The 23,719-nt window shown below is 49.1% G+C and overlaps 1 protein-coding gene and 1 pseudogene across 28 annotated transcripts in view, besides 1 other annotated feature; one reads left to right on the forward strand and one right to left on the reverse strand.

The window, feature by feature from the left end:
• Nucleotides 1–9: 9 nt before the first annotated feature.
• ZDHHC3 (zDHHC palmitoyltransferase 3) overlaps nt 10–23,719 on the reverse strand; it is a 60,914-nt gene continuing 37,204 nt past the window's right edge. For 6 of the 28 annotated variants that reach the window (XM_017006561.2, XM_047448260.1, XM_047448261.1 and 3 more), the window contains 6 exons: nt 18,637–18,733; nt 17,867–17,948; nt 17,656–17,739; nt 14,055–14,185; nt 3,542–3,710; nt 10–2,892 (listed from right to left, as the gene is read on the reverse strand). In XM_017006561.2, the coding sequence (XP_016862050.1) occupies nt 2,750–2,892; nt 3,542–3,710; nt 14,055–14,185; nt 17,656–17,739; nt 17,867–17,948; nt 18,637–18,733 (706 nt within the window). In that variant the 3' untranslated portion in view covers nt 10–2,749. Of the gene's footprint in view, nt 11,597–14,054; nt 14,186–17,655; nt 17,740–17,866; nt 17,949–18,636; nt 18,734–23,719 lie in introns of all 28 variants that reach the window. The other 22 variants (NR_146162.2, NM_001135179.2, NM_001349379.2 and 19 more) reach the window with 8 other exon arrangements.
• Nucleotides 18,512–19,339: an enhancer, noted in NCBI's record as "H3K4me1 hESC enhancer chr3:44975255-44976082 (GRCh37/hg19 assembly coordinates)". NCBI's record gives its function as "activates a minimal SCP1, AML or CMV promoter by ChIP-STARR-seq in naive H9 embryonic stem cells {active_cell/tissue: H9 hESC(naive)}" and the evidence as "EXISTENCE:reporter gene assay evidence [ECO:0000049][PMID:30033119]".
• On the forward strand, nt 22,334–23,274 carry RPL12P44 (ribosomal protein L12 pseudogene 44; annotated as a pseudogene).

Consider the following 23,719-nt stretch of genomic DNA (forward strand, 5'->3'; position numbering starts at 1 on the left):
TCCAGTCACTGAGGGTGAGCAAAGAGCTTTTTATTCAAAGAAAGAGGCAAATTGCACCCAATCTCTCTCCCTGTAAGATCTCATCTGGTTTTGACATCAGTTGCAATGCTTTCAGTCTGAGGCTAAGCAGAATGTTATGCTGTGAATGGTCACCACAGAGAGACCACTGTGTTGCTGGTGTGGGGAGGCGAGGCTCAGGGTTGGACAGGTTAATTACCTACATAACCCTGGCTGTGGCCCAGCCCAGCACCTCCCAGAACAGGGACTGACATGGCTGAGGTCTACCTTGGAGATGGGGTCAGTGAAGAGGGGAGGCAGGGTCAGCCTCTGTGCAAGTAAAATGCCCCCTCACCCCAGCCTTCCTTTCCAGAGCAACCAATCTGAAAACAGAATTGCCTTTGGGGCTGGTGTTGTACCTCTGCTTTCAGGCCAAGATGGATTCCCTAGAAGAGGAGTTTGAAGCCCAATGTGCAAGGACATTTCTCAAGGGCCATGTGGTTTTGCAGACACTGCTGTCCTCAGGCCTGAACTCACCATGGAAACCCATGTCAGCAAACAGTGACCAGCAAATCCTCTTCCCTTATTCTAACTGCTGCCCCCTAGGAGACTCCAGGGGGCAGGCATTGCTTCCTCCCTAGTGTGAACTCTCTGGTATTCCATCCACCATCCTGGCAGCCCAGAGCTGCTTCTGGGTTAGGACAACAAATAGGGGGCCCTACAGTCAGAGCAGCTCTTACCCAAAGTGGTGAGCGTCAACTTCCTGTCCAGATTGCAAGTTAATGGCCTTTACAGCTGACTCGGGCTCCTATGTCGTCATTAATAAATATTAAAGCTGATAAGGACCAAGAAAGTGGGCCTGCAGCCTGAGTGTGGGAGGCCCAATGTCTTTCTGGTTGCTCTGTTGATGTTAGAATCCCACCATCACCCCTCTCGTGGGTCATAGTTGGAGAGCTCTGGCAAGGGTTAGGGCAGAGGTGGCTTTGTGAACACTGGGCCCTTTGAGCAATTAACCCCAGGCCCTAGTGGGTCATCAGTTGTAGAGAGACGGTCTCTGGCAGGATCGTTGCCCTTCACAGAGTGTCCAAAGATGCTGTCCAAGAACCAGGATGCTGCTTGGCTCTTTTCTTTCTCACGGTCGCCAGTTTCCTTTCTCAGCATCCTGAGGCTGCACCTCCAAACACTGACCTTCTTCTCCTCTGAACTGCAGCCACAGGCCCCTTGGGGCCAGGACTCATGCCCTTTTGCCTGGAGCTGGAAGGGGGGCCCTAACACTGAGGTCTTGCAGGGGCATGCTCTGCTGAGTGCCTGTGCTCCTGCCAATCCTGACGCCAGTAGACGCTGGGGAAATGGGCCAAAGAGAGGAACAAAGGCACGTGGAGGGAGTGGGTGGTGAATCCACTTCTTATACCAAACGGGGATAAGAACCCTTCTGTTGGGCTTTGTGCAGAAGATGCTGCTTCAGCAACCACTGGAATGGGGTTTAGGAGCACCAGAACGCTGCTCAGACCTTCAGCAGTGGTCACAGACACCACAGGCTTCAAATGGGGTGAATAGAGGGCAGACTCATCCTGGTGGGGTGTGTGTGTGTGTGTGTGTGTTTGTCTATCTTCCTGATTCATCTGATTCATCAATCAGCAGACCCTGGCCATCACCCATCTTTTCAGAGACAAGATGGGCACCAATTTGGGAGAACTGGCCTTTTCAAACACACAGGCAGGGTTTATGGTCAGTTCTACCTACATGTGTTATTAGACTCCCTCCAAGAGGTAACATTCAATTAAGTTCTCATGCGAGTGGTTAGGGAGTCCCCAGTAGCTCCAAAGAGGTCCTTCCCATATCCACATCTGTGAATGGCTAGATATGTAGCCACAGGCAGGACAGCTCCCAGCTGTCTCGCTCAGTGAAGACTCCAGTGTCTGTGGAATGGGGGCTCATTTTCGGTGCTACTGTCTTAACTCTGGCTCTGTCCATGCTGGACATGTCCTGCACATGTGTGTGTAGAGCTTAATGCAGGGTCCTCTTTGAACCATGCCTGGCCCTTGCAGGTAGATGTGGCAGCCACCTCTACCTCCTAATTTCGGCAGGCAGCATGGGGAAGCCCTTTCCAGGGAGTAGCTGGCAGCTCTGCAGTCTTTCCAGGCTAGTCTCCCCTGATGTCAGTGTCCCAACCCAGGTCCCCAAGGCAAGCCCTGCCCGGTCCTTCTGTCACAACCTTACTTCTCAAAGCCAGGAGCCAGGGGCCCAGCCTTCCCAAGAGAAGACAGAAATCCTGGGGAAAGCCAAAGGCAAGCTCTTTTCTGCCCCTGGGATGCCCTGTTCAAAAGCTCCCTTTGCTGGGCGGAGAATGTGAAAGCCACCCAGTCTTGGAGAACGGTTCTTGATGAGCCGTCTCAGTGCAGACTCTTCTTAGATGAACTCTGAGAAAGCCCCCATCCTCCTCTGATGTCCCCAGCCTACTCCCGACCCCCAGACCTGGCCCAACATGGAGAGAAGAAGGAGGGGAAATGGCAAGGCCAAGCGAGTGGCTAAGGGAAGCACTGGGGGTGCTGGGAGCGCACCATGCCCATAAGCCCCTTTAGCCAAAACCCCAGGATGAAGGTTGACAGCACTTTTTAGTGTTTGCTTCTCTCCCCACAGCAGCATCTATTCATCTGTCACCTCCACAGAGTCCTCGTCCTTTGTCTCCTCTGATGGATCCTCCATTGTTTCGGTGTCTGACAGCGATGTCACCTGCCGCACCATGTCTTTGTCACTGGGGATCTCTGGCTGACACGGTCTGGAGAAGGGGTTGAACCAGTTCAGGGAGAAGTCCCCACCAAAGGTCTCCTTTACTGACTGCCAGCTCCCCATGTGCTCCCTGGGCTGGTTCTTTCGTTTGAGGCGCTCGATGCCCTGCAGGGAGAAGGGGATGAAGAACATCGTCAGCGTGGTGCTGGGCTGTACAGCTCACATAGACACCCCCAGCTATAGCATAGCAGTGGCGGGGGGGGGGGCGGGGTGTCCACGGCATGGGTAAGATGGGGTCTGAGTGGGCAGTCTGTTGTGGCCCAGGTCACCCCCGGGAGGTCCCTCAGAGGACTGCTGGGGTGTGGGTGGACAGCAGCGTGGAGGAACACAGCAAGCAGGGCCCGCCTGGTGGACTGACGTGTTCTCCACCCACCACCCAGCCCTCCCCTTCTTTCCTTCCACAAGTGCAATGCCAGATGATGGGCAGGGGCTAGGCTGATGAGTGGCTGAGGCATAAGGGGGACCACACATCCTCTGAGGCCACTACAAACTGGTGATCCCCTCCTAAATATTTTTGGCCACTCCCACCAGGGTAGATAGGGGCTGCAAACACAGCAGAAGGACGATGGGGTTAAGGAAGGAGTGCAGGACACAAACAGCATGCGAGGTGAAGAAGCGGGTGCTCGTACAGCAAGTGCCAACATGCATTAGGCAGCCGGAGGGCACACAGGACCACTGTGGGGAGGTAAGGCTGGGCTCAGGCCTGCTCATGCAGCAGATCCACCCTGCAGCCTCTTCCAAGCTGTCAACTCACCTGCCTCTGGGTGTCGGCTGCAACTCAGCCACCAGGCCACAGAAAGGGTGTTGGGGTGGGGAGATGCCCAGAGGAGGTAAAGACATGGCCAGGCCAGCTCTCCAGGCCCACAACACCCTGCACAGAGGCCTTTGACCCTCCACTGGGGGCACTGCTTTCTCCATCTCTTCTGGAAGCCAAGGGAATTTGCTGTGGGTTTGCTGGGCTTGGGCACTGCTCCTTCACATGACTCAAGAAAGATCTCTGTGTATCTAGCACTTTTTCTTCCCACGCCATTTCAGAGATTTAAGATTCTTGACTTTTGAATAAATTCTAAGTTAAAAAAATTGGATCTCAAAAGTATATCCTCATAAGATACTTATCAATTACAAAGGGAAAAACAGTACCTTAATAGCAGGGAAGAAACATTGCACGTACCACCTTCACCCAATGATCAAAGTTAACATCACAATAATGAAACGTATCAACACCATATGCCTCCTGATACGGTGCAACGAGGACACATTGCTTCAGCAGTGCTCCTGCCCCAAATGCCTAACCTCAATCTAATCATGAGAAAAACATCAAAAACACAATCTGAAGGACAGCCTACAGAATACCTGCCCTACAATCTTCAAAAGGGTCAAAGATTGATGAAAAGATTTTGGAACCAGACAGACCTGGTGGTTACAAAACATTGTGAATGCATTAAATGTACACTTTAAAATGGCTAATTTTGTGTTACAGGAATTTCACCTCGATTTTTAAAAAGGGTCAAGGTCATGAAAGACAAAGGAAGACTGAGGAACTGTCACAAACTGGAGGAGACTAAGGAGACATCGCAAATGATGCAGTGTGGGATCCTGGAACAGAAAAGGGTGTTAATGGGACAACTGGAGAAATGTGAATAAGGTACATACATTAGTTAAGGGTATGGTGTTGCCAATGTCCAGGGTTTTATATTTGTATTATGGTTGTATAAAATGTTTACCTTTGGTGAGACTGACTGAAAGGTACATGGGAACTCTTTGTACTGTTTTTGTCACATTTTTGTAAGTCTGATTTCACAAAAAGTTTAAAAATAATCAATAATCTGAGACAAAGATTTATGCAATACAAACTTGAACACTGAATTATAATAATGCAAAGCTGGAAATGAGAAATGCCCAATAATGATGGTTAAGCAAATGATTCTATAACACTATGCAGCTAGAAAAGATGGTTTAATATGGTTTTACATGACATTAGAACATTTGTCTGAGTGGTTACTTTTGGGGATGGAATTCTAGAGGATTTGTATTTATTTCTGTAGACTTCTCACACAATCCAAGTTTTACCAATGAGCCAATGTTACTTTTATAATCAGAACAAAAATAGTTGTTTCAGAAAATGGATCTTGTTGACACAAGTCTAAAGGGACCTTCATGTGGGTCATGAGCATGTGATGCCATGCTGCTTCCTGACTGGCCCCTCGCCAGGCCTCCCTTCTTGGCACAGAAGCAGTGACCAGCTGAGATGGTTTGCTTTGGGCATTCTGCATTCTCTTCCTGGGTGATCATCTGCAGCCTGTTGAGAAAGAGGCTTTAACTTCATAGCACGAGAGCTGGGACATCACCATATGGCAGACCCGGCTACAGAGGAAACACCCAAAAATGACAGACTGGCTGCATCCACACTGACTTGGACTCAAAGCCATGACCATAGGTTTTTATGGCCTCCTTGTGAGGAGGTGGGTATGAGTATTGATGATTGGCAGATGGGGAAGAAACAGAAGTTCCAAGAGGCCATGACGGTGGCCAAGGCTCATCTAGCTTGTTATGTATCAGAACTGGAACCAGAACTAGTGTCTTTTTTTCTGCCCAACAGGTTTCCAGTTCTACTGCAAATCACCACTGTGCCCAGGCTGAGCTCAGTCAGAGAGAAGGGGAATGAAGCCAAGAGCCCACAGGATGATTATTTGCCATTCATGTGGCATGCTCCCAGATAGGCACTCTTGGATTATACTCAACCTCCTCACCAACCTCATAAAGTATTCCAGACAGAGCCTGGCCTGTCTACCAGAGGTCTTCAGCAGTAAAGTCGACAAACTTTCAGGGAGTGTTGACTTTTGAGTCTAGAAAGAAAATATTGCAAACAAATCCGATGTATAAAAATGGGCTGAGGGCTGCTTTTTCCTGGTAGGACTCAATTTTGAGTTTTGTGTGGATTTAAAGGGATCCTGCAGGCAAAGTTCTTAAGCTTGAGGTTTGCAGAGGAGCAGTAATAGTAGCTTCAGGCTCAAGAGAACGAACAAAAATGGTTGATGCCTGGTAAGGGGGTCATAGTCGACACCAGAAGCTCTTGCAGGGTGTGTGATGGGCCTTTTGGCCCAGGTCAGTCTGGGTGACACATGAGCTGTGATCTGTGAACAAACTCACCAACACTCCAAAATGAATGTATTAGGACTAAGGCTCCCGAGGAAGGAAGAGTCTGTGCAGAACAGACTCAGCTGAGCCCCACAGAACGAGAACAGGCTGTTCCCTGCTCCCTGTATCATCAGATGTAGAAAGCCAGAGCCTCAGGGAGCAGCCTATGCAAATGTGTCTCTTCATAGCGGGCCAGATAACACTGTCTCTCCTCATCAGAGATTTCATACCTCTATATTGTAACCCACAAGAGGAAACATTTTTCTGTTGCATTCCAGAACACATATACACACAACTCCCTAAGCTTCATAAAACAATACTTATCCTGCAATATGTAATGCATTAAACATTTTTCTTGAAAAACATGCTGGTTGCAAACCATGAATGGCTGTGACCAATGGTTTGAAAAGCACAGCTCCAACACAGCTAACATTTATAAAGCCATACCAGGGCCAGACGCTATACATTCCTATTCATCACCCTCATTTAATCCTTCCATTAACTTTGTGATTTAGATTATCATTCCCGTTTTCAGATGAAAAAACTGAGGCTTAAAGAAGTTACTGCTCAAGGTCATATTTTGGTAGTAGGTGCGGTAATAAGTAGCCAAGCAGACATTTCAACCAAAGACTGAAGCCAGGACCCAAATACTTGGTCACCAGACTATATGGCCTCAGCTGCAGAAATTCAGGGCATCCTTATGTCCGTGTTAGAGCATGTGCGGCCCCTAGAAGGCTTTTAGCGAACGTCCCTCTGCAGCGCTTGTCCTCACTCCTTGGATCAGCTTCATCGGCTCCTCCTGTGGGCCCAACAGAGCGGGATCCCTGGGGGCCACTCTGCTTTGCTACGGCAATCACACTGCTCAAGTCAGCAAGATGTTTACTTGAGGGAGAGGGTGAGAAAAAGAAGGTTCAGGTTGGGAGTACGCTGGTCAGTGGCTTGTTTCTGCTTCACTGTGAATTCTTTCTCTTCTATGAGGTGATCCTAAGCCAGATACATATTTAAAGAATACAAGAAAAAGCCACATGGGTGTTGAAACCCACACGTAGAAAGCAAAGGTCAAGACGTGTTCAGGTCATGTATCCAGGCTGCTACAATGCCCCTGGCTCTAGACTACTCACCGGCCGCCGCTCCCATCTGGAGGTCCCTTGGTTCTACTCTTTTCTCTTTCCCTTCCGGGCTGCTTCTTCACCCAAAGGGCCCTTGGTCTAGAGATGGGTTCCACTGATGAGATGCACAAGGAGTGGTGGGCAGGCTAATAATTTGGATCTGCTTCATACAGACTTTCTTTGATGTCTTGGCAGTTGTTTGTTGGGGAGGCCGCAGCTTATGAGGGAAGGCAGTCTCAGTGGCTTCTCCGCGGAGGGAACACGTGCCTGTCTCACAATCAGCACACCCCAACTGCACTATGCTGAGCCCAGCAGCACACAAGACCCATATCACCAGCAGGCATCAGGGACCACCTGAGGGGGGACTCCTGCTAGCCCCAACTGGATTCTCAAACTTGATAGTCAGAATCACCTGGAGGGCTGTTAAGACACGGGCTGCTGGGCCCCGCTCGGTTTCTGGTTCGGTAGCCTGGGGTGGGGACCGAGAATGTGCATTTCTAACAAGTTCTCAGGTGATGCTGATGTTGACGTTGCTGGTCTGGCAACCTCAAGAACACCTTTGAGGAGGATTCTAGCAAAATCTTTCTCTTTTCACATTTCTTTGATATCTAAGGGCACCTTCTAGGTGGGGCGCCTTCCCCTCTACTGGCTGGCTCACCCTTTAAGCTGATGCACTGCAAGTCTTGAAAAGAGAGAAATTTAAAACCCATTAGCCTGGCTGAGAAAGCCCATCCCAGCCCACCCGGAGAGGAGTTTCTGTGTAATGCCAACCTCACATACATGTTTAAAATGTTTGTTTTTTTTTTTTGAGACGGAGTCTCACTCTGTCGCCCAGGCTGGAGTGCAGTGGTGCGATCTTGGCTCACTGCAAGCTCCACTTCCCGGGTTCACGCCATTCTCCTGCCTCAGCCTCCCAAGTAGCTGGGACTACAGACGCCTGCCACCACGCCCAGCTAATTTTTTTATATTTTTAGTAGAGACAGGGTTTCACCGTGTTAGCCAGGATGATCTCGATCTCTTGACCTCGTGATCTGCCCGCCTCGGCCTCCCAAAGTGCTGGGATTACAGGCGTGAGGGATGTCCACAGTGAGAAGTGTCCGCGCCCGGCTTAAAATGTTTGTTAATTTACCTCACCTAAACGGTTTCTGCATTAGGGGACGGTGGATTCTAACTATTTAAGTGGCCTAGCCAGATGAGCAAAAGCTAATACTTGGGGCTTTTTCAAGAAGTACAGGGCTGGGCCCAGTGGCTCACGCCTGTAATCCCAGGACTTTGGGAGGCTAAGGCAGGAAAATTGCTGGAGGCCGGGCATTTGAGACTAGCTAGGGCAACACAGTGAGACCCTGACTCTATTAAAAAACAAAAAAATTAGCCAGGCATGGTAGTACGTGCCTGTAGCCCTGGATATTCAGGAGGCCAAGGCACAAGAATCACTTGAGCCCAGGAGTTCAAGGCTGCAGTGAGCTCTAATTGTGCCACTGCATTCCAGCCTGGGTGACAGAGCAAGACCTTGTCTCAAACAAAAAAGAGGAAGTACAGTATGAAGAAGACAAAATGGTGGGACTAAAAGGAGATTTAGCACATGCACTTCTACCCAAATGTGTTTTGTGTACATGATATTACCAAGCCCATGCAAATATGCATAGATTATAGATTTGCTTGGATCTAAGCCTTTTGCATATTCAGTCTAGTTGCTATGAACACAAACCTGACAGAGTTGACAGAAGGAAAGCAAGCTGGGGATCACAATCCAACAAGCCACATCTTTATTTTTCACTTCCACTCCCCAGAGCCCAGGCTCTGAAAGACTGTGGCTACGACTGGTTCAATTTCCCATGAGTGCACCAAACAGTACTATCAGAACTCCTGTGACCAAGCCAAAAGTTGGGGCTGACTTTGTGTAGAAAGATGTCCTCTTTCATTACATCCGGAAATACTGAGGAGAGCTCAGGGATGCTTTCCCTTCCTGTCCTGTGTGGAAGCCAGGCTGGGAACCAATCACTACCCTGCAAATGATGGCTACATTCCTCAGTCATTGTGCTCTTGGCAAAATATCAGTCTGAACAAAAATGAAATAGGAAAAATGCCAGGAACCTTGGGGTATTCCTATCTTCTGAGAGCAACTGGTTTGAGAGCTCAGAAACATTGACTCTTTCTAGCCAAGGCCTATACAAAACCAGAGGCAGAATCCTATAGGATATCTGAAGGAACCCCACTCTATTGGAAAGATAAGCATAGTATGCACAGCTTTAAAGGAGGAGTTTCTATTTTTAGGACTAAAAAAAAGTCAGTGCATCTTCAGCACTATCTACTGCATTCCTGAGAAATGCCAGGGGAAAAGAGCTAACCTGGCTCACTTTAAAAAATGCCCTGGAAGATGGAGTATTACCAATCTCTTCCCCCTAGGGGAGGGCCAGAGCTGTAGCCCTGCTCTAGTTATTTAATACAATAACACTTCTTTCATACACCTAACTGAGCTGTATGTTATGAAAAAATTTTAAAAAAGCATATGGAAAACAAATGCTATCAACTTGATCTAAAACAGCATTCTTTTCTTTTTAATCTTAGCATCTCAGCCTCGCCCGTATCGCATGAATAGCACCGTAGACACGAGGTAAAGTTAACTGACTCAGGAAAGCTCTTAGGAGAGCCCATCAGCACAAAGGAATTGATTCAGGCTGCAGAAAGCAAAGGAAAGAGGCCTGGTGGGGCAAGCTGGTTCAAGAGAGGGACCATAAATGCATTTTAAAACAAAAAAAATAAAGTATCCTCATTCAAGAGACAGAGCAATGAAACAAACACCCAACCAGAGAAAACTCAAGTAGATTGTGGATAGTCGGCCTCCCACTAAGGGTAACACCTCAAGAGAGAGCTAAATCAGAACAGGTTTTGGAAAAATTTTATTGCATTTTGTTTCCATGTGGAAGCACTGACAGAATTGAAAAGTGGCAGCATGTTCCACTTACTTTTCTGAAAAATCACATGGCTAGATTAACTTTCGCCCTACCCAGGACAGGATTGAATAAACCTTAACTCCTACCCCCACCCCAAGCAAAAGCTAAAAAAGGGGGTTTCTGGCAATTGCTTAAAAAACAAATCAATGTGTGAGAATTCCCCGATGGTCAATAATCATATTTGTTATTTTTGCACTTGGAGGGCACTCCCTACCTCCTTCACCTCTATCCACCATCACCACCTCCTTCAAACAAGACTGACACAGGAAGTGCCTCTCAAATGGAAAATCTATTCTGTCCCAGTGCCACAGGCTTAGGTGTGTCTGTGGATTCTGGCCAATGGGATGGCCATATGTCAACTTTGAAAGGGTGGGGACTGTGAGGTAACCCCAGCATCATGGTCATCTCCATGCCAGGACAACAGTCTCCCAGGTTAAAATATAGATAAGACACAGGTACGTGCACATTTATGGGGGTTAACTATCAGAAAGTGAATCCACTTTGAGGTTTATAAAATGAGAAGGGGATGATGGTGGGGCTGTATGTGTTGGGCACTGGTGCCTATTGCAGTCAGAATTCACACTGCTTAATTGACATCTTGCTGGGGAAGAGAGGGAGATGGGGTGGTGAGAGAGGAAGCAGATGAAACAAAGGAAAACGTAGCTTGCCTGAAATTGTGTAATTTTTTTTCCTCTTGATTGTATAAGGCATTTTGAACTGGAAAAACGTCTTTCCTACACACTCTTCCAAATAATCACAGGGAATATAATTGCTGATTCAGAATACAAATAAGACCTCTTTCATCTTTCTCCCCACTCCCCCGCAAAATCATTCTACACACCCCAAGCCCATAAAGTACAAGGCAGGCAATTGCTTTGCGAGTTAGCAGGCAAACCGTGTCCACTTGGGGGATGAGGTCGCTGTGCCAAGGTCCCTTCTGATCCTGCCCTTCTCAGGCCTCAAGGGGTAAGCATCCATCTTCGGTGAGGTTTTATGTCCCATCGGGGAGCCCGCCACTGCCTCCTGGGCAGTGGGAGGTCAGGGCCCTCCTGGCTTTCCCATGCATCCCCCACCAGGTGTCCAGACTATTCCATCCACGCACAGCGTCATGTCTCACTCAGTTAGTAGAATGGGCACAGCGCGAGACAGCGCCCTCTACATTAGTCATGCCAGACAGACAGCAGAGAGAAACCAGAGGCCAGAGAAGTGATTTTAAAAGGAAAAGAGAGCAGCTTCGGTCACCAAAAGAAATCGAAAGGATGGTTTTTAAAAAATAAAATGTGGGGACTTTTTTTTTTCTCTGCAATGCTCAGCCATTTTACTTGAGACATAAAAAAAGTTTTAAGAGTAGTTGTTTTGCTTTTTCGATTTAAACATTCATGAGAACGGATGGGACGGTAGTGCTGTGGTGTGGACTTGTGTCTGAGTGGCCATGCCGGTCGGGGTCCTTCAGACCACATACTGGTACGGGTCTGCCTTCCCTTGGTCTGGCGTGGCAAAGGGGCTGGCCCAGCCTAGAGAGAAGGGGTGGCCAAAAACGGCTTTCATGTTCATCCATTTTGTTTTTTTAGCCCATCTTCTCTCTTCCTTTTTCAATTGTTCTATTCCCTGAAAACAAGAACAATCATACTTTCAGTCAAGCACTGCATTGCTGTGGTTTCTGGGGAGGGATGTCCGCAGCGACAGGTGAATGGAGTAAATGTTTCCTTTTTAAAGCAACAAAGCTATCTACCTAATATATCTTTCTCATAAAAAGTGTTACTAAAAAAATTTCTCCTTTTTTTGGTGGGCACTCATTCACAAGTCCCTCCAAGAAGGGAGGGAAAAAGAAGCACTATCAGCAGCGCAGAAACTGCTGCTTGTAAGTATGCCAGGCCGGGGTGTGTCGCTAAGATAAGGAGCGCGTCTCTCCAGCCCTGGCCCCTTGTTGAGCTCTGCAGAGGCACTCTTCAGAAACTCTGTGCTGGGCTGTGGATGGAGTACTATGAAGGCTTTGGCGTGAGAGGCCTCAGAGCTGTTGGGGAGCTCGCAATCATCATAACCAATGATGGCCATTAATTTGGGATAGGTTCCTAGGAAGTTTGAAGCTACCATGACCACCTTGCAGACAAAAAAAAAGTAACAAATCAAATGACTGCTCTGGCGTTGTGTGTCTCACCAGCCTGGGGGATCAAGCAGCACCCCGCTTAGTGGGCCTGGTGAGACACAAACTGAGAAGGTTGAATAGGAGTGACAGACCACGAATGAGGGGAGAAGTCACCAGAGGAGGAAGGAGGAGGGATTAGTACAGGTTAGAGGGTGGCATGGCCAGGCCAGCCAGCATGGCATGGCAAAGGTCCTCCTAGTGGCTCCTTTGGGGAGAAGCATGGCGCAGACCTATGCAGCAGCTGTCACGGAGCCAGCGCTGCTTCCCCTGCTAAGTCTCAGGAAAAAACTGGGGCTGGGGAAAGAGCTGCTTCCTCCCTCTCTCTCTTCTTCAGATGGAGCTGGTCAAAGGGCAGGGCTTGAGAACGGGGCCCCTGCCCAGAGGGAAAGGACAGGAGCAGCCTGGCAGAAGCCTGGCCAGGGGTCTGTCTGCTGTGGTCTCTAGTAAAGGGGTGCTGGGAGGACAGCTGAGTCTGGGTCTTTCTTCACAGCCTAGGGACCTGGGAAGGGCACAGGCCAAAGGGAAGACACCCCTTCCCAGGTGGGGCAGGGCCCTCCAGCTTTCTCCTTTCCTTCCAACACAATTCTCTTTAGGAATGGTCTTCTCAGGGAAGAACGGCTAGGACTGGGGCCGTGAGAGCTTGCCTTCTGGCTCCCCCAGACCGTGGCCCGGCAGTATCCCAATGGCAGACTGGTCCTGAAAGAATCCCCATCGGGTTCCCCGTATATCTTACGTAGAGAAGTTGGTCACGGTTACTGCTTGGATACAGGGCTGGATCTATACCATTGGCTACTAGTTTTACAGAAACTCTTTTGCAATGACATCATTTCTTATAAAAGAAAAAAAGTTGCCAAAAGCCCCGCAACCTTCTAAAAGTTGCCGGAAGACCCGAATAATGGTGCTCTGGCAGTGGGCAGCACTGTCCCTTCTTTTCTTTGCACGTCCTCCTCTAAGCCCACAGGGGAAGGCGCCCAGCAGCAGTGGGAGGATGTTGTCATCCTATGAGCCCGCTTCTAATGCTGACTACCCTGAGGCCCAAACCTTCACCCAGAGCCCTAGACCACTGGTGAAAGCTGACCCTGAGGTGGCCTCAGGACACCAGGAATCGTACCGGGATGGCTCTCAACCTCATGGCTCTGCTTGTTCCTCACACCCAGAGCTAAGTGCCACCCCTTCTTCCTATGTAAATCCCCAGAGAAATGCCCATATTGCAGCCAGGGATTGACCACCTTGAGGTTTTCAGACACCTTAGGAAGGTCAGGAGACAGCAGTAGGGGCACCAAGGGAGTAGGCCCCAGTCTGGCACAGCCAGCAGCCTCAAAGCTTCCAGCGAAGATGCTGTGGGTAGATGGGAGGTGATGGTAGGGGTGAGGAGAAGGCAGCGGATGAGGACCAGGGCTGGGCCAGACAGAGATGACCCAGAGGCCAGGTAAAAGCCTGCTGCCCTGGGGGCTCAAGGCAGACCTGTCTCCTGACTCTGCCCTCAGGACCCAGGCATGGCTGGCAAGCTGACCTGCCTGTCCCAGCTGGGTTAGGGCACCCTGTCAACCACTCTATTTCAAGCCTGTGGCCCCCAGATGGGAAGGGTGCCCTCAGTGCCTAGTGGAGTGTCTAATGCAGTACAGTATAAAGGAAGACCTGCCATGGGGGGGATGGAAGGAAATGTGGTAAAGGCAGCCTTTCAGCCACGGCTGCTGGGCCGCACTCCTGGTGTGATCTGCTATGGCTGCCCCAAGGCTGGAGGACTTGTGTGTGGATGAAGATGACCCAAGTGTAACTGCAAACAAAGAACTGTGCCCTGCACACCAGGGGCCTGACCACTGGGCTCCAGTCTGACTGTGAGCAGCTCTCCCAGCAACACTGACCCTGGGTCCTCCCCATCCCCAGGTGTGGAAATGGTGGGCAGAGCCACCTGCTTACCGTCTCATCTGTGCAGATGGAGTGCACCTGGGTCCCAAACATCACTGATGTGAAAATGAGGAAGAGCAGGCCCTCAAAGCACAGCAGGATAAGGAGAATCACTGTGGTGGGTGGAGAGAAGGAGCTGCACTCTGAAAGAGAAGCAGCACACAGGGATTGGTACTGTCACCCACTGCCTGCTGCCCAGGCTCACTGCCCCACTAGGCGCCCACTCTGCCTCCTGCTTGCAGGCCTTCATTCCTCCTGGGTGCCATAGGTCTCTGGCCTCCAGGCTACGGTGAGAATCATCCTGGCCCACACTGGCTATCTCTCAATCCCTCAGGGAGGCCTCCTCAACAGGCCAGGCCCCAGCCAGGGCTTCCCTTCCCTAACACAAATCATTCCTTGTTCACTGCCCCCAGTGCCAAGCACAGTGCCTGACACATGGAAGGGCCCAGGAAGGCCTCTGAAGTGAGGCATGAACGCCTGACGACACCACAGGGGACCCTGCTCTCCTCAGAGAGCACAATGCAGGTACACAGGTGGAGAGGCCTGTCCAGTCCTGCTATGGCCATAGGTTTTCTGGGCATTCCTGTATGACGTGCTGCCCCTCTGTGCCCCATCAGCTCACAGGCAGCTGTGGAGGATCACTTGGTGGCTTTGGGATTTTAAGCTTGGCAGGGGCAGCTGAACTACTGGGTCTCAGCCTTGACCACAGTGTGAGGTAATGCACTGCCCCCGCTCCCAGGGACATTTGCAGCACCGAGGCCAACAGTGCCAAAGGCCAGGGAGTCGACCAAAGAGGCATGGGCCCAGAGTAGGCACTTTCACTGTCCTGGCCTCCAGCCCCGGGGACCTGAGGCCAGTCCTGCCATCTTCAGGCCTCCACCCACTGCACTGTGAAGCAGTGAGATTTGACTAGAGGTATGGTTTGCTTTTAAGCAGAATCTTTTGTCTGAACAAAGTCTAAGTCAGAAACCCAGCGCATGGAAGAGAAAGGCAAAGGTGCTGTGGAGATGGTGGGGGTGAGCAGGGAGGGGAAGGCCCTGAAGCAAGGTGGCCTGGGAAATGCCAGGCCTGGAAGATGGTGCTGACAGACAGGCTAGGCCCCTTGGTTGGCACTCTTCACCTAAGGACTTCTGTGCCTCAGTGCAGCGGCCCATGCTGGCTGAGCCTGGGCTGTGGTTTATTTCTCGTTGCTTCCATACTTGTGCCTGTTTCCCTGGCTGGAAAGATCAGATCCTGGAGGGCAGAGTCGGGCTTCATTAATTCTGGGAATTAAGGGAGTAAGCACTCCATCCAAGCTGTCCTGCTGGCTCCCCCACGGGAATGTCAGGAGGGGCAAGGGAGGTCAAATGTGGGAATGAGCTTGGAAAGATACCAAGCACCATGTGGGTGACAGGTAAGAAACATCTCATCCACAATGCATATCTCCTCAGGTTTCCCTGGGAACTTATCGATGCCTCAGAATGATTTCTCTTCTTGGCTCCTTGTGGGGCAGGGCTTGGTTGGGGTGGCCACCAGCCTGATGGCCTGGCCGTGGGTGGCTACAAGTATGGGTGGCCTTGGGCTGGGCAGGGTATTGGGGAGAATGAGAGGCTCTGACATCTGGCAGACACCACGAGGTACAAATCCTGGCACCAATTCCTGATCATGAGCTCTAACTACAAGGCCCATACTAATATTCTGTTCCAGCCCCTGTGTCTTTCCTGTCCTTTGCATTGTGGAATTACCTGTTTCTTTCTGTACTGGTTTGATAGGTGCCTCTCCCACTACACTTCAAACTCCAGGAGCGGGGAGACTTTGTTTTGCTTACTGCTGTACAACCAGCCTTGGGACAGTGCCTGACAACAAAAGGATCTGGGCAAGAGGTTTGGGCTTTCTGAGATTTTGTTTTCCTTTCTGTACAGGGGAATACTTAAGAATTCATGAAAGAACATCTGCACAGTTCGGCCTTGGCCTGGCAGGAGCACATGGGGGTGCCTGCTGGACAAAGCACCTCCTTCTTACCTACCTCTGCTGCCCTGGAGCTGGTGGAAGAGCCCAGGGCCATGGCCTATTCTCCCTCCTTGCAAAGCAGCAAGCATCATTCCTCTGTAGGCTGGGCCCCAGGAATTACCAATGGAGTTTGGGGAGGTAGGAATCAGATCAGGGAGTGTGGAACCACCTCCCTACCCTTCTTTAAATATCAACTCAAAGTGCCCTAATCCTGGGGGACAGCCCTCTGCCCCCACTCACACCAGCTCCTATGGCCCAACAGCTCCACCAGGGCTGAGCAGTGAGGGCAGTAATGGTCATATACAGTCAACTCTCAGGCCTCAACTTTGGGTACTGACCTGTGCCTTCCCAGCCTAGCTGCCATAGAAGCTGGGTGCCTGAAGCTCACTCCATCAGGAATTTTGACCACAGTTAATCAAGAGCATGGCTGGGAGGACCCTGACCACTGGAGTCAACCAGACAGGGCTAAAAATCTTGCTCCAGACCTAGGCTTGAACTACAGACCCTCTTGTTAGCTGAGTGATCCTGGAAACTTGTTCATCCTCTGTGAGCCACAGCTTTTGTCATCTGCAAAGTGGGAAGCATCTCTCCTACCTTGCAGGCTTGTTATAAGGGCGAAACAATGCACTGCTCAAAAAGCCCTTTGGGCCATTCCTGGCTCCCAGTAGGCATTAATGCAATGGTGCCTTCCAGCACCATTACAACAACAGGGACATTTTGCCTCACTGACAGTCTGTGCTACCCCTATCACCTGCCCAAGTCTGTTAACTTGACGAGAGGTGGGAGGTGTTTGGGATGATAAAATATCCTAATTGGACTCCCTTGTCAAGTAACCAAGGCCACATCTGGAGTAGATCTGGTTCCCCAGGCCTAGCAGAAGGCATGTACTTCAGAATGCTCACCAAGTGATCAGGAACTTGCTGGCGACTCACCTAGATATGCAGAATGGCAAGTTCTGCACATACCCACTCACCCCTACCCTCCTCTCCTATCTCTATTGTCTGCTGGCTTGACCTCTGCCATTTGACTTATGCCAGAATTGTGGGAAGAAGTCAGCATGTATAGGAAGAGCAAAAGTTCTAAAGACAGTGAAATAAAAAAAAGGAGGCCCATGGAGGGAAAAGCTTAGGAAATACAATGTTCCTTGCTCAAGACGTTTGTCTCACAGATTGTGAGTATGAAAGAGCCAGCCCAGCAGGTGGCCTCTTATTTCTTTTCCTCCAGCATCTATTGTTTTCCTTCAGGATCTGTGCAATCTTCTGGCTGGAGTTTCTCCCTCAGTATTTGCACATTTCAGTGGGAAGCCTCTAAAGCAGGAAGAATTATCTACAATCTTAATGTAAATTCACGATTATCAGTGTAAGCAGTTAAAAAACACCATCACAAAAACCAAAGAAATTAATAAAGAAACTCCATGTCCTAGCCAGAAAGTAAAAAATGAATCTCTGCAAGACTGGAATAAAATGATCTTTGATTTAAGTGCCTCATGGAAAGACAGAAAACAAAACTTCTCTCCCAGCATGGCTCCCACGCATTGGAACCGGCCTCTGTGCTTGCTTGGGGCCTGCATTCTCCCTGGGCACGCTCAGTCCAGAGGGTCTGTCTGTCCAACTCATGACTTTACCTGTCGAACTGAAGTTAAGGGGCTGCATTTTTTCATGAAGAGAGATTCCAGTCTCTGCCATTTCTTCCCTGTTCAGTCCATAGGCTTTCAGGAGATTTAATAAAATGAGGTTGGCCCCTGGCACCATGAAGGAAACAAAGAGCCTCCCCGCCCCCCACTCAGGTCACACACCCACCCTGGAGCAGGGAGGAAAGCCTCAGCACATACTCACTTGTCCAATCTTCTTCAAAGCAATGCAGGAAGTGGAATCCCACCATGATGAGGGCGTGCAAGGAAATGAGAGCTATGTACATCTGAAACAGGAAACCAGTGCAGACACCATTGTTGTGAGAATCCTCTGACCTCACGGGCTCCCGGGACAGGGGCACTCAGAATTTGCCACTCAGGAACACTTAGTCAGGACAAGGCCTGACCAGGAGGGACCAGAGGGCCAGCTAGCGATTCCCTACAGATCCGTCTACCCACCAGCCCTGGGTCAAGTGAGCAGCCACCTCCGGGAGTACGTGGAACCAGAACAGAAGCAAGCCCGTCACCAGGCATGACCTGGGCTCCAGGCAGTATGAGCTGCCTGGGCGGGGGGTTCAAGCCTGCTGTACCTCCTCCCTTGAAAAGCCAGGGTGCTGACTGCTGAGGGCCCTTCTAGTCCTTGCACTAAGTAGACTCCACCTACCTGCACCTCAGGATTTGAGGTCATCACCCAAACTGCCTTCTTGAGCTACTTAGGTCCAACACTTGGAATGGGAGCCCAGAATACAGCCCTTGCTCATAGCTAATCAACTGAAATCAATTTTCTAAACGCTCAAGTGAAGGGCTTAGGTACAGGCACTTGTTGAGCCAGAGAGATCTTTGGCAGGAAGGCAGAGATCTACAGGGCCAGGCAGTATTCTGAGCAAAGAACATCGTGAATGCTGAGAATTTTCAAAGGAACAAAGTGCTCCATTGCTTCATGGGGGGCAGGGCAGAATTTGCAAGCTGACTTACTGTAAACAGGACGAAGTACTTCTGGTTGTTCTCGCCTACACAGTTGTTGACCCAGGGACAGTGGTGGTCCATCTTCCGAATGCACCGCTTACAAACACTGAAACAGCCCACAGGTCAGACCTTTAGGGCATCCCCATGGTGTTGGGAGGGCCCCGGGGGAACGCAGAACCCATGGCTCCTGCTCCACTCCTCTGAAATGGCTTCCTTGGGCACTGCCAGGGGTTTTGCTGGGTGTGTGTCACGTGGGGCTTGGGAGGCAGGGTCAGGACCCCAGGGGTGGCAGTCATTCCAAACGGGTACAGAGTCATTCTCCAAAGCCCCTTAGCTTAACACATACATAGGACGGAACTGACATGGTTACATGGCTAAGATAGAACCTGCTCTCCTGAAGTAATGGGGCTTACGATTTGGTTTCCCGAGAGAAAAAGAATGAAGCAGTTTCAAAAACTTGACCAAGTGGGCTAAGATTTGGAGAATGGCTGCTACCTATTTCCCCAAAAGACCAAACCACCAAGGGATGGGTGGAAGTTCTAGAAGCACTATGAGGTGCTACCAGGGAGGGCCAGGTACCTCCACCATGGAAGGACAAAGGACAGAAGAGAGGGCTATTTCAGAGCAAGGTCAAGGACAGCAGGAGGCCCAGCTCCAAGAACTTTTTGGCTCTAAGATGACATCCATTTAGCCAAAAAAAAAAAAAAAAAAAGCAAGCAAGCAGAAAAGTCATTTGAGTCCAGGCGCAGTGGCCTGTAATCCCGGCACTTTGCGAAGCTGAGATGGGCAGATCATCTGAGGTCAGGAGTTTAAGACCAGCCTGACGAACATGGCGAAACCCCATCTCTACTAAAAATACAAGAATTAGCTGGGTGTGGTGGTGCATGCCTGTAATCCCAGCTACTCGGGAGGCTGAGGCAGGAGAATCACTTGAACCCAGAAGGCAGAGGTTGCAGTAAGCTAAGATCGTGCCACTGCACCCTAGCCTGGACAACAAGAGCAAAACTCTGTCTCCAAAAAAAAAAAAAAAAAAAAAAAGTCATTTGAGCTTAACTGTCGACCAGATCAGTTCATTAATTTGCACATTTCTAACATTATTGGGATAATTTTTGGGCTGAGCCTGTTTCAAGCTTATTTGATAGCAAGCACAAACCCGCTCCCCCTTTGGACAATTCAAAGTAATAATATGAAACAAGCGTCCCGGACTACTAGGGGCTTGAAAGCAACTGCTTCCCAAAGCTCAAGTTTAGAAAGACTCATTTGCCATGAGAAAGAAAAAAAACTTTTTAATCTGAGGAATGTGAGCCCATTTAATTATTAGGCCTAGAGAGGCACTGAAATAAGACAGCCTGTGACAGCAGTCATGTCTCACACCCCCCTTCGAGATAAATAATTACCTTTCTTTGTGTGTGTGTTAGATAGGATCTTCCTCTGTCACCCAGGCTAGAGTGCAGTGGTGCGATCACGACTCACTGCAACTTCCCGGGTTCCAGCAATCCTTCCACCTCAGCCTCCCGAACAGCTGGGACCACAGGTGCACGCCACCACACCCAGCTAATTTTTTTGTATTTTTGATGGAGATGGGGTTGCCCAGGTGGGTCTCAAACTCCTGAGCTCGAGCAATCCACCTGCTTTGGCCTCCCAAAGTGCTGGGATGACAGGCAGGAGCCATTGTGCCCAGCAAATAATTACCTCTTGAAGCCACTAGCTATGTGGGCTCTAGACTGATGCCAAGTAGCCATGGAATGACACACACCCTATAGTTCAACAATGTACAGCCAATCACTAATCAATGTTATTTCTGTAAGCCAATGAGAGTTCCTGTCAAACAGCTTTGTATCAGCCCGCTCCTTTTTCCCTTTAAAAACCTGCTTGTAAATGGGGAAAAGACTCCCTATTCAATAAATGGTACTGGAGATAACTGGCCAGCCATATGCAGAAGGTTGATGCTGGACCCCTTCCTTACACCATATACAAAAATCAACCCAAAATGGATTAAAGACCTAAATGTAAAACCCAAAACTATAAAAACCCTGGAAGACAATGTAGGCAATACCATCCTGGACATAGGGCAAAGATTTCATGACAAAGATACCAAAAGCAATCGCAACAAAAGCAAAAATTGACAAATGGGATCTACTTAAACTAAGAAGCTTCTGCATAGCAACAGAAACTATCAACAGAGTAAACAGACAACCTACAGAATGGGAGGAAATATTTGCCAACTATGCATCTGACAAAGGTCTAATTATCTGGCAACTATAAGGAAATTAAACAAATTTACAAGAGAAAAACAATCCCACTAAAAAGTAGGCAAAGGACATGAACAGACACTTCAAAAGAAGACATACATGTGGCCAAGAAGCATATGAAAAAAAAGCCCAATATCACTATCATCAGAGAAGTGCAAATCAAAACCACAATGAGATACTATCTCACACCAGTCAGAATGGCTACCATTAAAAAGTCAAAAAACAACAGATGCTGGCGAAAGTGCAGATACAAGGGAACACTTACACACTGTCGTGGGAGTGTAAATTGGTTCAACCATTGTGGAAAGCAGTGTGGCAATTCCTCAAAGAGCTAAAAGCAGAACGACCATTCAACCCAGCAATCCCATTACTGGATACATACCTAAGGGAATAGAAATCCTTCTACCATAAAGACACATGCATGCAAATGTTCATTGCAGCACTATTCACAACAGCAAAGACACAGAATCAACCTAAATGCCCATCAACCTAAATGATGACAGATTGACTAGAGATGTGGTACATATACACCATGGAATACTATGTGGCCACAAAGATGGGAACACAGACACTGGGGTCTACCTGAAGGTGGAGGGTAGGAGGGAGAGGGCCAGAAAGATAACTATTGGGTACTGGGCTTAATACCTGGGTGATGAAATAATATGTACAACAAACCCCCAACACACGAGTTTATCTATGTAACAAACCTTCACATGTACCCCCGAACATAAAATAAAAGTTAAAACCCCCCCCCAAAACCTGCTTGAACGAAGGCAACTTGGAAGTGTGTTTCAGGCTGCAGTCCTCAATGTTGGCCCAAATAAACTCTCTCAATTTTGCCTGCTTCTTTATTTAGGTCACCAGCCAATAGATGTGCTCATTGACAATTTTTTTTCAATTCATTATTTTAATGAATTCTAGTCTCCTTTTTATTATTTTGGGGGCATTATTTGTTCAAAACAGGTTGAAATGCTATAAACAAAGCTTTGAAATAATACAATTATATTTCCTTTTAAAAGTTCCTTAGTTCAAGGCCAGGTTTGGTGGCTCACACCTGTAATCCCAGCACTCTGGGAGGCCGAGGCAGGCAGATTACTTGAGCTCAGGAGTTCAAGACAGCCTGGGCAGCATGGCGAGACCCTGTCTCCAACAAAAATAAAAAAATTAGCCGGGTGTGGTAGTGTGCACCTGTGGTCCCAGCTACTCGGGAGGCTGAGGCGGGAGAATCGCTTGAGCCTGGGGTGGGGAGAGGAGACGGCAGTGAGCTGTGATTGTGCCAAAGTTCCTTAGTTCTGCTGGGCATGGTGGCTCATGCCTATAAGCCCAGCACTTAGGGAGGCCAAGGTGGGAGGATTGCTTGAGCCCAGGAGTTTGAGACCAGCATGGGCAACATAGTGAGATCCTGTCTCTAAAAATAAGTTTTTTTTTTTTTTTTTTTTTTTTAAAAAAAAAAGCTCTTGGCTTTCAGCTCGGAGGCAGCTAAGGTGCAACCTTCTTCGGTTGTCCCAAATCTGGGTTCATCCAACACCAGCTGCCTCTACCATGCTGCTGAAGTTCGACCTCAATGAGATCAAAGTTGTATAGCTGAGGAACACCAGGAGTGAAGTCAGTGCCATCCTGTGTGGGCCCCCAAGATTGCACCCGCCGCATGGGTCTGTCCCCAAAAAAGGTTGGTGATGACATTGCCAAAGCAATTGGTGACTGGAAGGGTCTGAGGCTTACAGTGAAAGTGACTATTCAGAAAAGATAGGCCCAGATTGACATGGTACCTTCTGCCTCTGCCCTGATCATCAAAGCCCTCAAGGAACTGCCGTGAGACAGAAAGAAACAGAAAAATGTTAAACACAGCGGAAATACCACTTTTTTTTTTGGAGACAGAGTCTCGCTCTGTTGCCCAGGCTGGAGTGCAATGGTGTGATCTCGGCTCACTGCAGTCTCCAACTCCTGGGTTCAAGCAATTCTCCTGCCTCAGCCTCCCAAGTAGATGGGACTACAGGCATGTGTCACCAAGCCAGGCTAATTTTTGTATTTTTAGTGGAGACGGGGTTTCACCATGTTGGCCAGACTAGTCTTTAACTCCTCACCTCAAGTGATCCCCCCGCCTCGGCCTCCCAAAGTGCTGGGTGGGCTCACAGGCGTGAGCCACTGTGCCCAGCCGGAAATACCACCTTTGATGAGATTGTCAACATTGCTCTACAGATACAGCACCGACCTTTAACCAGACAACTCTCTGGAACCATTAAAGGGATTCTGGGGACTGCCCAGTCTGTGGGCTGCCAAGTTGGTGGCCGCCACCCTCATGACATCACAGATGACATCAACAGTGGTGCGGTGGAGTGCCCAGCTACTTAGAAGCACAAAGGACGATATTTCAATAAAGAATCATTTGACAACTAAAAATAAAAATAAATAAAAATAAAAAAAGTTCCTTAGTTCACACCAGCTTTCCTCTCCACTAGCTTCTATAACTAATTTTACCTTGGGTTCTTGAAAAAGTGCAGAGTGGGCAATGGCAGGTGGATGCTGGAGGAAGGGCTGGGCGTTGGGGCCTTGCTGGATCACACTCACACCACAGTGCTGGCTAAGCTCTTGCTGACCAGCTGGAAGGACAGGGAAAGCATAGGAGCAGCTCTGCTGGGCTGGAGGTGTGCTGTCCCCTGGATTCCAGAACCTGGAAGCAAAGACTACCCGGAAACAGTCCTCCACCACGGTGCTCACTTGTAGCCCAAGGAGAAGATGTGTGCTTTTCAAAGCCTCGCATGAACTTTGGTGGCAATGCAGACCTGAGTCCGCTGAGCTACCTTGGTCAAACTGGCTAACTCGGAGCCTCTAGTTTCCCT

The sequence above is a fragment of the Homo sapiens genome, chromosome 3 (assembly GCF_000001405.40).
Source record: "Homo sapiens chromosome 3, GRCh38.p14 Primary Assembly".
Classification (NCBI taxonomy): Eukaryota; Metazoa; Chordata; class Mammalia; order Primates; family Hominidae; genus Homo; species Homo sapiens.